Here is an 18,142-nt window from a genome sequence, read left to right as displayed (position 1 = left end):
ATTCCCTTTTATGTTTTTGCTTTGGAGCTAAAACATAAAGTTTACTTTGGAACAAACTTCCTTTGTTCAGGGCAGAAGTTAGCATTTTAACTCCTTGCTGTAGGAGCAAGGATTTGAACCAGAGCGTGTCCTTATAGCTACCAAGGAGTCTGTATGTTACTGTTCTTGTGTCATTAACTAGCTGACTGTGCGAATTCTTCCTTGTCCCCATGGAGATGGGTGCTCTTCCTAGCTGCACCTGGGGCATTCTTGTTACATAGCATGAAGTGGCTGTATTATTTCTTCCCCAACTCTTATCTGGGATGAAAGCTGAACTGGACAAGATGCATAAGCTTGGACTGTGCCAGGCTAACCAGGATGTGTGGTCACTCTGATTATAGCCTTTATTTCGCATCCCTGAGACACAAGCTACCTGTTATCCATGTTGTATTCCCAATGTTCAGTAATGACTGGCATGTCGTAGGTGCTTATTGAGCATTTGTTGGTTCAAGGACAAAGGAATAAATGTGGAAGGTCGAAACTGTGTTTATCTATACAATAAAATGTACTTTTCTGTTTTATTACAGCTGGTAATGCCGCTGTCATCAAATATGAGGAGAAACCTCCAAAACCAGCATTTCAGAATGGTTCCTCAGGATCCTTTTATTTGAAGCCTTTGGTATCCAGGGCTCATGTTCACTTGATGAAAACTCCTCCAAAAGGTACAGTCCTCATTGTGGTTTGAAGAGGGAGGGCAAGACGCTTAAAGTCCTTGGCTTGTAGAAAGTTAAATTTTGACAATTAGGTTTATGGTATAGTCAACAATGATTACAAATATGTTGAGAAAGGAGATATAATACATTTTTGCACTGAGGAAATTGTTTTTCTGACAGTTGGTAGGTTCTATAGTTAAAAATCATTACGTGTAAGTCAGCAGGCAGAACAAAGGTATAAGGTAGAAACAGCAAAACTTCAGGAGTTAAATTATTCTAAAACAGTGCTCTAGAATAGTGAGAAAGGAGTAGAAATGCATGATTACTTTTCATCAGGGTAGATGTTTTATGTTTATTACTGTACTTGTGTCTTCATGTCTTTGGTCTAAGACATTGTTCTTCCTCTAAATGTTCTTTATCTCTGTTCCTTCTCATATCCCTCACTTTTTATTTGCTGTGATTATGAAAAGTAATTTTCAGGTTTACAAAATATGTGGTATACACTTAATGTGCAATGTTTTCATGCAGCTTTGTCTCAGTGGGGCCAAAGCACATCAGAAGCCTTCTTTGTGCCACATGCGGTGGCTCACGCCTGTAATCCCAGCACTTTGGGAGGCCAAGACAGGTGGATTGCTTGAGGTCAGGAGTTTGAGACCAGCCTGGCCGACATGGCAAAACCCCATCTCTACTAAAAATACAAAAATTAGCTGGGCATGGTCGTGTGTACCTGTAGTCCCAGCTACTCATGAGGCTGAGGCATGAGAATTGCTTGAACCCAGGAGGCAGAGGTTGCAGTGAGCCGAGATCGCGCCACTGCACTCCCGCCTGGGTGACAGAGTGAGACTCTGTCTCAAAAAAAAAAAAAAAAAAAAAAAAAAAAAGCATTATTTGTGCTTAGTGAACTGAAGCTTAACTAAAGCCTGAGCGAATAATTGTGAGTGAGAAACTTGACCTATAAAATGAGACCCACATTTATGTTAGAGAATTTGGAAAACACAGAAACAAAGAGTCTTCCTTAATTCTGTCAACCAGCAATTGCTGTCACATTTCCTTGTGACTTTTTTCCTCTGTATGTATATGTTGTTTTGTTTTTATTCCAGCAAAACTGAGGTAATAATGAATATACTCTTCTGTATCTTGCTTTTTATTAAGTTAGTAGTGTATCAGGAGAGCTTCTTCACTTTAAATGGCTATTCTATGGTTGTCCACTTCAGTTTATAGTGGGCAACTTCTGACTTTTATTGGGGTTTATTAATACTGAGATGAACCTCTTCAAATGTGAGTCAAGATTCATTGTTTCAGATTCTGGTTACTTGTGGATATCCCAGAAGGAGGAATTACTGGGTTAACCTGCATGAAACTCTTTGGATTGTTAATATCTATTAGTAACTTTCTCAGAGGTGTTACTCTGTCACAGCATCCTCCTTAACATGTCTCTCTCTCTCTCTGTGTGTGTGTTTAAAGGATAATATGGTACCTTGAGGCTGGTTAATGTATGTCAATACCTTTTCTTTGTACTGAATTGAAGAGAAAATAGGCATGAATTTTAGGAGTGGGTTGAATTCTTCAGTGTGCAGCAGGTTGTCATTTGCCTAGGGAGTTAATCAAATTTCGGAGGCACCAAATGACCTCTTGCTGAGTTGACATCAGGTTGGAAAACTGTGGTTTTTTATTGATGATGATAAAGCCCCATGATCCACACAGCAATAATGAAGTTAACGCTGTTGAACTTTGATACTAAAATAACTTGCAGAGAATGAGATTCCATGGACAGCTTTGTAGAACAGGAGACTCAGAATTCTAAAATGCCTCACTATTGAATGGATAGGTTATGTCGCAACAGTTTTACCTGTGTGGGAATCAGTGCTTTCCATTGATAACAGCCACGTATTTTAAGAGATCATCATCTCTGTAAAATTTCAGATAGAACATGGTAGCTGTTCTAACTGGTATCTGCAGATGATTATGTCCTAGAAACAACTATTTCATGTTAAGTAGAAGCATCATAGATTTCTTTTAGTGACTTACAGCTGTGTACCTATTACCCCTCCTGATTTTATATTTTATCAGTTTGGAGGAAAAACTTCTATTTTTCTTCATAGCTGAATAGAAACGGGTAGTTTCGGAAAGCACACGGGAGTGACTGTCCTTCGTGAAGTCTGGCCTCTGCTCTCCCGGCAGCAGAATGGCATATGTGCACAGTCTGTGAATTCAGTACTGTTAAAACTTGAACTTCAGCTGTTCTTGACTGAAAAAATACTGCGGCTTTTCCTTTTAAAACTGGTCCTATTTAATTTGTGGTGACTTCATATCATACTTAAACATTTTGATGTTATGTGAAATATCACCTTATATTTAAAATGCACTTGACAAAAGTTGGTTGAATCTCGGTGATATTTCCCACCGGGAACCTGAAATGTAGCGATTGATTGTTTTTGAAAATAATTCTTATCAACATGGTTTGTTTTTATGTGATATGTCAAATAAAACATATGTATTTTACATGTTTCTTTTATATCTTAGGTCCTTCGAGAAAAAATTTATTTACAGCTCTTAATGCAGGTGAGTGACCACTTTATGGATGGCGATAAAAAGAATCTTTTTGTAAAGTTATGTTACTACAAGTATTTACAGTGATTTTTTACTGGTGTGCTTATAAGTAGAATTTCCAATTTGAGGTGTAAACCTAACTTTTTATGACGGGTCGCATAGCATTAAAATACGGTAAGCATGACTGGCCATCTAATGCATGAAAGGACATTGTATTACTAATAGATAGTTATAGTCTTTTAAAAAATGATTTTGTTAATGTGGTCTAAATGAAATGGAAAATGTACTTCCCCCAAGATCAATGCTATTTTGAAATTGGATATTCCTTAATTTTTAAGTGGTCTCAATATTTGGTTTTAGCACCTTTTCCCAGTTCAGCAGCCTATATTTTTATGTTTTTTTTTTCACACTTTCACTGGACTTAACATTCCCAAGATAGCCTGCAGCCTCCACTATTTGAACCACAGCTGAGAATCCAAAACTTTATGTCTCTCAAGAACCCATAAAAGATTTCACAAAATATCTTCACTGCGATTCCTATACTTTGGATGGATGGATGGATGGACAGACAGACAGACCGACAGATAGGCTGGGCCCAGTGGCTCACACCTGTAATCCCAGCACTTTGGGAGGCCAAGGTGGGTGGATCACTTGAGGTCAGGAGTTCAAGACCAGCCTGGCCAACATGGTGAAACCCCATCTCTACTAAAAATACAAAAAAGTTTGCCGGACGTGGTGGTACGCTCCTGGAGTCCCAGCCACTCAGGAGGCTGAGGCAGGATAATTGCTTGAACCTGGGAGGCAGAGGTGGCATTGAGCGTAGATTACACCACTGCACTCCAGCCTGGGTGACACAGTGAGACCCTGTCTCAAAAAAAAAAAGATAGATGGATTGATCTCTCTAGATAGATAAGGTCTCCTGTACACTGCCTACATTGTCTTATTTTATATACAGTGATAAAACAGTTATGTGCCTTCTAAATCCATGGCAGATTAGAAGAGCAAATCAGAAGAAACGAAGGTACAAGCATCGCTCATTTTCTGGAGCCTTGCAAATACTGTGCTTTTTGCAACTCTACCAGCATCATTTTTCCAACAGCAGTTGCTCACTTCATGTCTGTGTGTTACATTTTGGTAATTCTCACACTATTTCAAGCTTTTTCATTATTATTATATCTTTTACGGTGATCTGCGATCAGTGATCTTCCATGTTACTGTTGTGATTGTTTTGGGACACCATGGACCATGCTCATCTAAGACAGTGAACACAGCTGATACGTTTGCATTTCAAGTGCTCCACTGACTGGTCCCTCTTCCATCTCTCTCCCTTTTCTTGGTCTTCCTTATTCCCTGAGACACAATAATATTGAAAGTAACCAATTAATAGCCCTATAATGACCTCTGAATATTCAAGTGAAAGAAAAGTTGCATGTCTCTCACTTTAAATCAAAAGATAGAAATGATTGAGTTTAATGAGGAGGGCACATTGAAAGCCAGGATAATTCAGAAGCCAGGTCTCTTGTGCCAAGCAGTTAGCCAAGTTGTAAATGGAAAGGAAAAGTTCTTGAAGAAAATTAAAAGTGCTCCTCTAGTGAACACTCAAATAAGAAAGCAAAACAGACTCCCGGCAGAGAGAAAGTCTGAGTGGTCTGACCAGAAGATTAAGCCAGCTGCAACTTTCACTTCGGCCAAAGCCTAATCCAGAGTGAGACCCTAACTCTCTTTAATTGTATGAAGGCTGAGAGAGGTGAGGGAGCTGCAGAAAAAAAAAAGCTGGAAGCTAGCAGAGGTTGGTTCATGAGGTTTAAGGTAACTCTTCATAACATGAAAGTACAGGGCGAAGCAGCAAGTGCTGATGTAGAAGCTACAGCGAGTCATCCAGAAGATCTAGCTGGGATCATTTGATAAAGGTGGCTACACAAAACAACAGACATTCAGTGTAGGTGAAACAGCCTCATATTGAAAGAAGATGCTGTTTAGGACTTGCACAGGTAAACAGGAGAAGTCAGTGCCTGGCTTCAGATGACAAGCTGTCTTATTAGAAGCTAATACTTCTGGTAATTTTAAGTTGAAGCTGACGTTCACTTACCATTCTGAAAATTCTAGGGCCCTTAAGAATTACGTTAAATCTACTCTGCCTGTGCTCTATAAATGAAACAACAAAGCCTGGATGACAGCGTATTTGTTTACAGTATGGTTTGCTGAATATTAAGCCCATTGTTAAGACCTACAACTCAAGAGATGTCTTTCAAAATACTACTGCCGACTGACAGTGCACCTGGTCACCCAAGAACTCTGATGGAGTATAGTATAGTGTATTACATAGTAATATATAGTACAAGAGTATAGTACAGGAAGATGGATGTTTTCACACCTGCTAACATAGCAGCCACTTTGCAGCCCATGGATCAAGGAGTAATTTTGACTTTCAGGTCTTACTATTTAAGAAGTACATTGTGTAAGACTGTAGCTGCCCTAGATACTGATTCCTCTGATGGAACGGGGCAAAGTCAGTTGAAAACCTTCTGAAAAGGGTTTGCTCTTCTAGATGCCATTAAGAACATTCGTGATTCATGGGAGGAGGTCAGAGCACCAACGTGAATAGGAGTTTGGAAGAAGCTGACCTAACCGTCATGGATGACTTTGAGGGGTTCAGTGCTTCAGTGGAGGAAGTCACTGCAGATGTGGTAGAAATAGGATGAGAACTAGAATGAGAAGTGAAGCCTAAGGTGTGACTGCATTGCTGTTGATCTCTGGTAAAATTTGAGCAGATGAGGAGTTGCTTCTTATGAATAAGCAAATAAAGTATCTTCTTGAGATGGAATCTACTCCTGGTAAAGATGATGTGAACACTGTTGAAATGACAAAGGAGTCCGAATATTCCATAAACTTAAAGCAGTGGCAGGGTTTGAGAGGATTGACTCCAATTTTGAAAGACTCTCTGCTGTGGGTAAAATGCTATGAAACAGCATCACGTGCTACAAAGAAATCTTTCATGAAAGAGTCAATTGATGTCGCAAACTTCATTGCTGTCTTACTTTAAATTGCCACAGCCACCCAAACCTTCAGCAACCACTACCCTAATCAGTCAGTCAGCAGCCACCAACATTGAGGCAAGATGTTCCACCAGCAAAATAATTCCTGCTCACTGAAGGCTCAGATGATCTTTAGCATTTTTTAGCAATGAAATATTTTTAAATTAAGGTGTTTTTTTTTTTTGAGACAGAGTCTTGCTCTGTCGCCCAGGCTGGAGTGCAGTGGCATGATCTCTGCTCGCTGCAAGCTCTGCCTCCCGGGTTCACGCCATTCTCCTGCCTCAGCCTCCCGAGTAGCTGGGACTACAGGTGCTCGCCACCATGCCCGGCTAATTTTTTGTATTTTTAGTAGAGACGGGGTTTCACCGTGTTAGCCAGATGGTCTCCATCTCCTGACTTCATGATCCACCTGCCTCGGCCTCCCAAACTGATGGGATTACAGGTGTGAGCCACCACGCCTGGCAAATTAAGGTATATATTTTTTTAGACATAATGCTGTTGCACACTAGACTATAGTGTAGTGTTAATATAAGTTTTATATGCACTGAGAAACCAGACAATTTTTGTGATTTGCCTTATTATGTCATGTGTCTTATGGGGTGATATATATCTCCCAGGTATGCATGTAATGTTACAGAATGTTGACTACAGTTTGTTCACACATTGTGAGTGTCAGGTGTTAAGGATGCAGTCCTGAGCGAAGAATGAGCAGGGGCCTTGTCTCTGGAGAGCTAATAGGATAGTTAAAAAAATAAAATAAAAAACCTGCTCAAATAGACATGAATCACAAATGCACTGAGTTCTAGGAAGGAGGGTTGTCTTGTCCTAGAAGAGAGGTCCGGATTGAAGGCTGTCATGTGAGGGAAACCTGGGCAAGAGGTATAAATTTCTGAGCCTGTTGTGTAAAGAAAACAGGGTGGGATAACATTACATCATGAATAACATGAATAACAAATATCCTTGATGCCCCATCAGGTGTATTCAGTTTCCTCAGTGTAATAAGCAGGGAAGTGTGGGGAAATTATCTCAGAATTCTTTTTCTTTTTTTTTTTTTGAGGCAGAGTCTTGCTCTGTCGCCCAGGCTGGAGTGCAGTGGCGCGATGTCTGCTCACTGCAAGCTCTGCCTCCCTGGTTCACGCCGTTCTCCTGCCTTAGCCTCCCGCGTAGCTGGGACTACAGACGCCTGCCACCATGCCCGGCTAATTTTTTGTATTTTTACTAGAGATGGGGTTTCACCGTGTTAGCCAGGATGGTCTCGATCTTCTGACCTCGTGATCCGCCCGCCTCGGCCTCCGAAAGTGCTGGGATTACAGGCGTGAGTCACTGCGCCCAGCTATCTCAGAATTCGTAACCTTTTGTAGGCTCTTAAAGCTAGGAAGACAGCCATGCAGAATGATCTAAGTTCTAAAGATCCCCAGGATGCTGAGTGTGAATATATGTGGTTACTAAAGCCTTTATAGGGTAAAAATGCAGAAGAAACTCTGCTGTACACATTTAGGCTTTTATTTCCTTTTAAGTTTCTGGTACATCCTAATATCTGGGGAAAAAAGATAGCTAATATTCTATGGAATGGCTTTGTTTAAAAATTAGTTAACCATTATCAGAAAACTGGCTCAATTGGTAGCTCTGTGTTTAACAGTTTAAGAAACCTCCAGGCTGTTTTCCAAAGTGGCTGGACCACTTTATATCCTCACCAGGAGTGTATGAAGAATCCTGTTTCTCCACAGCCTTGTCAACACTTGGCTTTGTCTGTCTTTTTTATTATAGCTATCCCTACTGGGTATGAAGTGATACCTCATTGTTGTTTCAATTTGCATTCTGACAGCCAGTGACATTGAGTGTCATTTCGTGTGCTTACTGGCCATTTGTATATCTTCTTTGGAGAAGTGTCTATTCAAATCATTTGCCAGTTTTAAACTGGGTCATTTTTATTGTTGAATTGTAGGAGTTCTTGTATAGTCTGATATTAGACCCTTGTCAGAGTTATCATTTGCAAATATTTTCTCCCAATTCTTGGGTGTGTTTTCACTTTCTTGATAATGTCCTTGGAAACATAAACGTTTTAAATTTTGACAAGGTCCACTTTATCAACTTTTTTTCTTTTGTTGCTTCTGCTTTTGGTATTGTATCTCAGAAACAGTTGCCTAATCCAAGGTTGTGAAGATTTAAGCCTGTGTTTTCATTTAAGTTTTTTTTGCTATTCTAGCTGTTATAGTTAGGTTTCTGATTCATTTTGAGTTACATTTTTATATGGTATGAGATAGAAGGTCTAATTCTTTTTTGCACATGGACATCCAGGTGTTGAAGACATGTATTTCCCCCATTTAAATGCCTTGGCACCTTTGTTAAAAATAATTGGTTAAGAATGTGAGGGTTTATTTCTGATTTCTAAATTGTGTTCTTTGCATTTATATGTTACCTTTGCCAGTGCTACACTGTCTTGATTAGTAAGTTTTGAAATCAGGATGTGAGTCATTCAACGTCTTTCTTTTTCAAGATAGTTATGGCTATTCTGGGTCCCTTGATTTTCTGTATGAATTTTAGGATCAGCTTGTCAATCTCTGTAATGAAGTCAGGTGAGGTTTTAGGAATGTAATCTAATAATTCCAATTCTAATAATTTCTGTTACATTGAATCTATAGATGACTCTGTATATATAGAATGTATTCTAAGGGGTCAACATTGCAGCTTAATCTAGATTGTGTGGTAGGCCTCTGTATTTTCCCGAAACCATAAGCATGACTTTCCCAGGTTCTTCTCGATGGTTAGTTATTATCATGACTTAAGACTAACCTGGTATTATGAGGAGCCTAGTGAGGAAAAGTTACTGTGTGGACAGAGGACCACAACAAAGTGTGTTTGCTTTGGAAAGACGACTTTGATGCTGAAAAATGATGCTGAAAAGCCAGTGACTTTGGGTGGATCATTGAACCTCTTTGATAATAGTTTTCTATGTAACTGAAAGGGTGGATTTCTAGATTTCTCCCTACTGTGATATTCTGTGACTGAAAATCACCTTGACTTTTTTCATATTCTGCTGGAAATGAGTCATATTTTAGCTGATACAGAAGACATTGCCTCCACACATAAACATGTTCCTCTGAGTGTAAATTTTTAATCGTTGTACTATGGCTTTGAGATATTTTTATTTTAAAGCTGTAAGTAGTGGTGGAGATTACAGTTGAGTTGACCAACTTCATATTCCTTAGTTCTAGTAAAATAATCACTTTTAATTATAGCAGTTTGCCAAACTTCAAAAAGTTTAGCATGTAGTTTAGAAATCACCCTTCAGCTTTTTAAAATTTGTCGTTTTAAATGAAATTTAGATAAGTGTATATCCTGCTTTGTCATTTAACATATAGTAATCACTTTTACATTTAGCAGATACAGTAACATTTAACTACTTTTGAATATTTAGGGTGCTTCTGTATCACATTCATAAATGATTCTATGATGAACATCTATACAATTAGCACTTTCAACTTTCAATTTCTTGTGATAGATTATTAAAAGTAGTATCAGGAAATCACAATATGTACCCATTTACAGTCACTTCACTCAAATAGCCAAATTGTTTTCCAAAAGCTTCATATCATTTTATACCGTGGTTGACATAAAAGACACCTGGCTTCATCATACCTTGGGTCAACATTGGATATTATTTTTAAATTTTTTTGACTAACATAATAGTTTAAAATGTTACATCATTGTTTTAGCTTGACCTTTATCAATTAAAGAAATTACATTATCTCATAAGACAATGTAGAAAAGCAGGAGGAGAACGAACTTTTAAGGCACGGGATGTTGGTTTAAACCTTCGTCCTGCTGCTTTCTATTTGTGTCCTGACCTTGGGCTAGTTGCTAAGCCTCTCCAAGTCTCAAATTTCTCGTTTGGAGACATGGGAATATTGGGGAAATAATTCCCAGAAAGGCAATAATATGACATCATAGAATTGTTTTATAAAAGGTTCTCAAATAATAGTTAAGTCAGCTGCTAGGAACGGTAATGATGGCGATCTTTTACATTGTTTTTATAATTCTAGGGGCTTATTTTTAGGGTTCTTTTCCAGGAAGTTGAATTATTTTAAATCTCTAAAGCAAGCAGGAAAGACTGCTTAAAGTCAAGAACCAACCTCTTGGGGTCTAACTGTTGTAATTTATTTAAACGTTATGACGCTGCAAGATTGTAGTTGATATTGACTCTAAAAAAAATCTTGGCTTACTGCTGATAAGGAAGATGTCACACATACCACAGAATACTATTATTACCTTGGTTCTACCATACACTAAAGCCACTGGCATACCAGAGGCATCAGAGCTGTATTTATCCAGTACCCTGATTGGTTTACACAAGATCATCACTCTCAGGTGCCAGAGTGTCTGCCTTGGAAGGTAGAAAATGCACTGGTCCTTCCGCAGTTACTTAGTAAAGACATCACAGGAGAACAGGGCGGCTTTCTTGCCTTCTTTTGCCAAGTGCTGGGAAGTGGTTGCAAGTTGCAAACCTGCTGATGAGGTGATGCCGAGGCTGCCAGGGTTTCTTCTGGTGAGAGTAGAGAGAAGGCTGTTTTTTCACTGTTGTTTTATGATTAACATAACTTTCCCCCTATACTTAAAACACAGATGCTCTTTTCATATGGGATACATTTTTGTTTCAAATTGGTGTTGGGGGTTGTGAGGAGTGGATCATTTAGTAAATCTTCTTGAGACAGTGACTACCTTTTTAGCAGGAGCTAGATCTTTTTCACATATATACAAAGTATTTCAGATAAATTAGTTTTAAACACACAAAGTAATTAAAACACTAAGAATATAGACTTAAGTAGAAAAGATCTTTCCAGGAACACTAGTATAATAGAAACGATTAATAATTAGGACAACAAAAGCTTTAAAAAACCTTAGAAACAGGCTGTGCATGGTGGCTCACGCCTGTAATCCCAACACTTTGGGGGGCCAAGACAGGTGGATTGCTTGAGGCCAGGAGTTCAAGACCAGCTTGGGCAACGTACTGAGACCCCATCTCTACCAAAAATACAAAAAAATTAGCTGCACGTGGTTGTGCACACTTGTAGTCCCAGCACTCATGAGGCTGAGGCAGAAGAATCGTTGAACCCAGGAGGCAGAGGTTGCAGTGAGCTGAGATTGCACCACCGCACTCCAGCCTGGGTGACAGAGCAAGACTCCGTCTCAAAAAAAATAAAAAGAATAAAAATCATTAGAAACAGTATTTATAAGCAAAGAACAAACTGAGGTTATATTAGCACATACTCTGTGTAGAGCTCTGTCAAATCAGCAAGATAAAGACAACTCTATAATAGAAGCTAAATGGACATACCACCCAAAGAGATCTACAGATTCAGTGCAATCCCTATCAAAATCCCAGTGTCATTTTTTTAAAGAAATAGAAAAAACAATCCCAAAAGTCATATAGAATGACAGAGGACTGCAAATAGCCAAAACAATCTTGACAAAGAACAAAGCTGGAGGCATCACAGTTCCTGATTTTAAAGTATATTACAACACACAGTAATTAAAAGAGTATGGTACTGGCACAAATATAGAAACATAGACCGATGGAATAAAATAGTCTAGAAATAAATCCGTGCATATACGGTTAGCTAATCTTCAGCAAGTGTGCCAAGAATACACAATAGGGAAAGGATAGTCTTTTTGTAGATAGTACTGGGAAAACTGGACATCCACAAGCAAAATAATGAAATTGGACCCTTATCTCACACAGTACACAAAAATCAACTCGAGATGGATTAAAGACTTAAATATAAGATCTGAAACTATAAAACACCTCAAACAAAACATGGGGCAAAACTTCATGTCATTTTTCTTGGTATGACACCAAAAGCCCAGGTAACAAAAGCAAAAATAGACAGGTTGGAGTACATCAGATTAAAAATCTGCAGAGCAAAGCAGTCATTTAATAGCATGAAAAGGCAGCCTATGAGATAGGAGAAAACATTTGCAAACCATACGTCTGATAAGGCGTTATTTACCAAAATAATTGAAATCAGGATGTTGAAGAGATACTTGCATTCCCATGGTCTGTCGCCCCCAATATTTCAATGTAGGTTATTTTTGTTTCCTGTAAGTGTTGGCCGGTCTGAGAAATAAAGAGAAAGAGTACAAAGAGAGGAATTTTACAGCTGGGCCTCCAGGGGTGACATCATATTGGTAGGTCCGTGATGTCCACCTAAGCCGCGAAACCAGCAAGATTTTATTAGGGATTTGAAAAGGGGAGAGGGTGTATGAACAGGGAGTACGTCACAAAGATCACATGCCTCAAAGGGAAAAAGGCAGAGCAAAGATTACATGCTTCTGAGGAAACAGGACCAGAGCAAAATCAGAAACTCCTGATAAGGGTCTATGTTCAGCAGTGCACGTATTGTCTTGATAAATATCTTTACAGAAAACAGGATTTGAGAGCAGAGAACCGGTCTGACCTCAAATTTACCAGGGTTGGTGTTTCCCAATCCTAGTAAGCCTGAGGGTACTGCAGGAGACTAGGAGACCAGGGCGTATCTCTCTCAGTCCTTTTTTTTTTTTTTTTGAGACAGAGTCTGGCTCTGTCACCCAGGCTGCGGTGCAGTGGCGCGATCTCGGCTCACTGCAAGCTCTGCCTCCCAGGTTCACGCCATTCTCCTGCCTGGGACTACTAACTGGGACTACAGGTGCGCACCACCACGCTAGGCAAAGTTTTTACATTTCTAGTAGAGACGGGGTTTCACCATGTTAACCAGGATGGTCTCGATCTCCTGACCTCGTGATCTGCCCGCCACAGCCTCCCAAAGTGCTGCGATCACAGGCGTGAGCCACCGCACCCGGCCAAGCTATCTCCACCGCATAGGACAGACACTCCCAGAGCGGCCGTTTATAGACCTACCCCCAGGAATGCAATTCTTTTCCTAGGGTCTTAATATTATATTCCTTGCTAGGAAAAGAATTTAACGATATCTCTCCTACTCGCACGTCCATTTATAGGCTCTCTGCAAGAAGAAAAATATGGCTGTATTCTGCCCGACCGCGCAGGCAGTCAGACCTTATGGTTGTCTTCCCTTGTTCCCTAAAATCACTGTTATTGTGTTCATTTTCAAGGTGCACTGATTTCATATTGTTCAAATAAACATTTTGCAATCAGATTGTTCAGTTAATGCAATCATCACAGGGTCCTGAGGTGACGTACATCCTCAGCTTACAAAGATAACAGGATTAAGAGATTAAAGTAGGACAGGCGTAAGAAATTATAAGAGTATTTTTAGAGAAGTGATAAATGTCCATGAAATCGTCACAATTTATGTTTCCTCTGCCGTGGCTCCAGCCGGTCCCTCCATTCGGGGTCCCTGACTCCCTGCAACAATGGTCATTGCCACATTATGATAGCCAGGATGTGGGAACAACCTAAATGTGTCCATAGGATAAAGCAAATATGGCATATATGTGCACTGGAGTATTATGCAGCCTTTAAAAAGAAGAAAGTCCTGCCATATGCTGTGATACAGATAAAGCTGGAGGACACTATGCTAAGTGAAATAAACCAGTCATGGGGCAAATACTGTATGATTCCACTTATAGGAGGCATCTAACATAGTCAAAGTCAGAAACAGAGTAGAGTGGTGGTTGCCAGGGAATGGGAACTTGATGTTCAATGGTACAAGGTTTGTTATGCAAGGGCGAAAAGGTTTTCGAGATGTTTGTTACAGCATTGTGCCTACAGTTAACAATATTATATTGTTCTTTTAAAATTTTGTTGAGAAGGTAGATCTCATTAAGTGTTCTTGCCACAATTAAAAAAACTAAACAAAAAGAAAGGGAAAAATAAGTGGATGGACAGAAAAGAAATATATGAAGGACTAAGGAATATATGAAAAATGTTTACCAAATATGAGTTAAAATAATGTGCTCTCAGTTCTTGCTTATTTCTTAATGTTAGCACCTGGTACTGGCGAAGAATAAGAAACAGCACTCATATGTACAGCTCCTTGGTAAATTACAGCAGCTGTAGCAGAGAGCAAACACCTTCCACCCGGGAATTCTGTTTTTCAGAATTGGTCCTAGGAAAGTAATTTATTTACTTATTGACTGCTTTTCAGAATTGTTTACAATGGGGGAAAATTGGAAACAACCTATATACCTTACAGGAATTAAGTTCGTTGACATTTTAAAGACATTTTTGAAGCCATTAAAATAACAATATAAATGCTTATTTAATCCCATGGAAAGATAAGTGTGAAATTTTTAAGTTTAATAAGTTTATTAAGCTTATGTTAAGTTTAAAAACAAATTGGAGAGCAGTCTGATGTGTAAGTAATTTAAATTGAAAAGAAAATTCTGGCCGGGTGCGGTGGCTCACGCTTGTAATCCCAGCACTTTGGGAGGCCAAAGCAGGTGGATCACAAGGTCAGGAGATTGAGACCATCCTGGCTAACACGGTGAAACCCTGTCTCTACTAAAAATACAAAAAAAATTAGTCAGGCGTGGTGGCGGGCGCCTGTAGTCCCAGCTACTCAGGAGGCTGAGGCAGGAGAATCACTTGAACCCGAGAGGTGGAGCTTGCAGTGAGCCGAGATCACGCCACTGCACTCCAGCCTTGGCGACAGACCGAGGTTCCGTCTCAAAAAAAAAATTCTACGATGAACATATGAGGTTTTGTTTTTTAAAAACAAACATTGTACATGAATTAAAAGCATTACTGCTTTTAATTTAAACTCTTATTTTGCTTATTGCAAAATAAAAGGCAATGTCACTGTTCTTTGAGAGCTTATCATCTTACAGGTGGGTGGAAGTTGATTGTTTTTCTAATTGCTTTGTGTTAATTTTTTGATAATTACAATTTATCTTCGTACTGAGGAAGAGGATAGTGTGGAAAAATTGGGCCTTAAGTTGAAGTTTCTACAACTGGAATAGAGAATTGAACTTACTACATTAAAGACTGTGAGGAGTAAAATGAAGAAAATGTTGCAATTAATGCTGTGTTAGGGAAAGTAAGGAGATAAATATAAAGATTAATATTCCATATTAGGCTAAGGAAGATTGGTTGGATAGAGATGCTTGAATCTCCACACAAGTCACTTGGTTTAAATTTTAATCTTCTTCCTCATTCTTTATGATCATTAACAACAACAAACAATAACAGATAAATTGAAGGCATTTTGTAGCATCTAAGCACCCCATACAGATTATGCTAGATTCTTGTCTAGAATCATGACATCATTGTTTTCTAAATCACTGATTTAAAAAAACACATTTCTATGCAGACCAGTGGAATTTCTGTTTGTTTGAATATACTGTGATATTACAACATACTGACTTATGAAACATTCTGTATCATCCTCTTTTGTTATTTAAGCCTTAGTATAGACTTTACACATCGTTTATTTTTCTTTGTGTCATTATGAAAACTCGGCTCATTTTGTAGGCTTTCTATAAAATTATTCTAACACTTAAACTTTTTAATTTTTTTCTGGCTGCATGATTTTTGAAAAAAAAAATTAGGAAAATACAAAAACATATAATAAAGAAAAAATAGAAATCCTCCCTCTTCTACCTCCCAGAGCATTGGTGACATTCTGGCATGTTTGCTCCAATATACTTAATCGTTTTTGTTTAATGTTGAGATCCTACATTGCATAAAATTTTAAATCATGTTTTTGTTTTCCACTGACATCCTAACACAGGCTCTGCTTCATAAAGACTCATCTTTTTTTTTTTTTTGAGGAGTTTTGCTCTTATTGCCCAGGCTGGAGTGCAATGGCACAATCTCTGCTGATTGCAACCTCCATCTCCCAGATTCAAGCGGTTCTCCTGCCTCAGCTTCCTGAGTAGCTGGGATTACAGGCCCCTGTCACCATGCCCAGCTAATTTTTTGTGTTTTTAGTAGAGACGGGGTTTCACCATGTTGGCCAGGCTGGTCTTGAACTTCTGACCTCAGGTGATCCCACCTGCCTTGGCCTCCCAAAGTGCTGAGATTACAGGCATGTAATCTCACCACCGCGCCCGGCCCATAAAGACTCATAGCTAACTTTTACAACTACAAACTGTTGTACTTTAGGCACTAAAATTTCCTTATTTTTTCCTCTACTGTCCTTGGTGATGCCTATCTTTTCCTCTTAAATTAAGACTTTTAAAAATAACAAAGATGCTTTTTTTAGGTACTTCTCACATTCGTTCAATTTCAGAAAATATGGAGTTCCTAACTGGTAACAGATGATCAAATAATCAAAGAATTTTTTGGAACCAATTTTTTATCTTGGCTCCCCCCAGAGGCATATATAGTATAAAAATAGTTGTGACCTGAAAGTAATTGCTTATCCAGTTATTTAAATGAGCAAACGTAAAGTGTGTAAGAGAGTGCTTGGAGCAGTAGATTGTAAGCGATGGCCATTTGTTTATGGACTGCCAAGGCAGCTCCCTTGCTTTGGTGCACTTGTGCTGCACGGCCACCAGGAGGCAGACTATGTTTGGGAAAGAACTGAATTTAGTTTATTCCTGCAGCTTCTTGCTCTGCTGTTAAGAGATATCATTAACAATGTTTATTTTCAATATGTGTGGTTATAGCTTAATGTAATTCAAGTAAAAATGTTAATGAATCTGATTAATCGATGATTAGATGGTAATTTCTTCTTTTAGGGAGTCTAAAGAACTTCCCTTTTAACAAGGATAATTTAAGGCTGGGCGTGGTGGCTCACCCCTGTAATCCCAGCACTTGGGAGGCCGAGGTGTGTGGATCACCTGAGGTCAGGAGTTCGAGACGAGCCTGGCCAACATGGTGAAAACTCATCTCTACTAAAAATACAAAAATTAGCCAGGCATGGTGGCGGGCACCTGTAATCCCATCTACGGAGGCTGAGGCAGGAGAATCACTTGAACCCGGGAGGCAGAGATTGCAGTGAGCAGAGACTGCGCCATTACACTCCAGCCTGGGCAACAAGAGTGAAACTCCATCTCAAAAAACAAACAAAAACAAACAAAAAAGGATAATTTAGAATTTGCTGTTACTGAAGAAACAACAAACACAACCAAAAGAAAGAAAAACCACCTCCTACTATATGGAGTGGTGGCATGTCTGTTTTTAATCATGGCAAAATTTGACTCTGTTCTTCTGTTTGTTTTTAATGCTGATTGGTTTCTTGGTTTTTACAAGGTTTTGGGAGGTAGAGGAAAAGGTTCTGGTATATTTTTAGTATGTAGAATCTGGAAGGAAAAGGTGTTCAGGTTTTTTAATAATAAACTGGGATGAAGTAAAAGGCAACACCTAGAAGCAGCTGGCCTTGATTTTAATTCCTTGATCATTTAGCTTCAGTTGCTGTGGTGCAATGTATGTAGCAGGTTTTTCGTCAGTGTATGAACTAGGTGTATCTTTCTCACAGGAACCCTGGACAGGTTATTGGGTCTGTCTCTCTTGCTGACAACCTCTAAAATGGCAAGTTGGGGGCTTGAGTGAAGAGGGAGGGGGCTTGAGGGAAGAGAACTTATTTAAATTTTCTCTTCCTCCCTCTCTCTTCCCTGCTTCATACCCTACTCTATAGAATTTCTAAAAGAACTGCTTCCTGCTAGTTTTAATAGCACTTAATAGTGTTATTTATGGTAACAATTCTGCATTTATTTCTGAGTCTTATTTTCTAGGAAATCTTGGAAACAGGCATAGGACATTTTTAAAACATTGTTTTGTTTATAACATTTTTAAAAATGTTAAGAGCTCAGGCTATTCGTGGTTTAATGGAATTAGCTTAAGTGGGCATATTGTTGTTGTTAATTCTTATAACCATATCTTTGTTTTTCAAGTTCTTTTGGTTTTGCTATCATGTTTTAACATACTTTTACAAGCCACTCTACTGAAATAAAAATTAGTAGATA

At 38.9% G+C, this 18,142-nt stretch overlaps 1 protein-coding gene across 11 annotated transcripts in view; it reads left to right on the top strand.

The window, feature by feature from the left end:
• MTUS1 (microtubule associated scaffold protein 1) overlaps positions 1–18,142 on the top strand; it is a 157,720-nt gene that overhangs the window by 85,054 nt on the left and 54,524 nt on the right. For all 11 annotated transcript variants that reach the window (NR_156437.2, NM_001363061.2, NM_001363060.2 and 8 more), the window contains 2 exons: positions 567–701; positions 3,216–3,254. Coding sequence is in view for 10 of the 11 variants with exons in the window: in NM_001363061.2 (NP_001349990.1) it covers positions 567–701; positions 3,216–3,254 (174 nt within the window). In the remaining variant the exon portion in view is untranslated. The remainder of the gene's footprint in view (positions 1–566; positions 702–3,215; positions 3,255–18,142) is intronic.

Source organism: Homo sapiens, chromosome 8 (genome assembly GCF_000001405.40).
Source record: "Homo sapiens chromosome 8, GRCh38.p14 Primary Assembly".
Taxonomy (NCBI): domain Eukaryota; kingdom Metazoa; phylum Chordata; class Mammalia; order Primates; family Hominidae; genus Homo; species Homo sapiens.
This window is presented reverse-complemented; position numbering and strand designations above follow the sequence as displayed.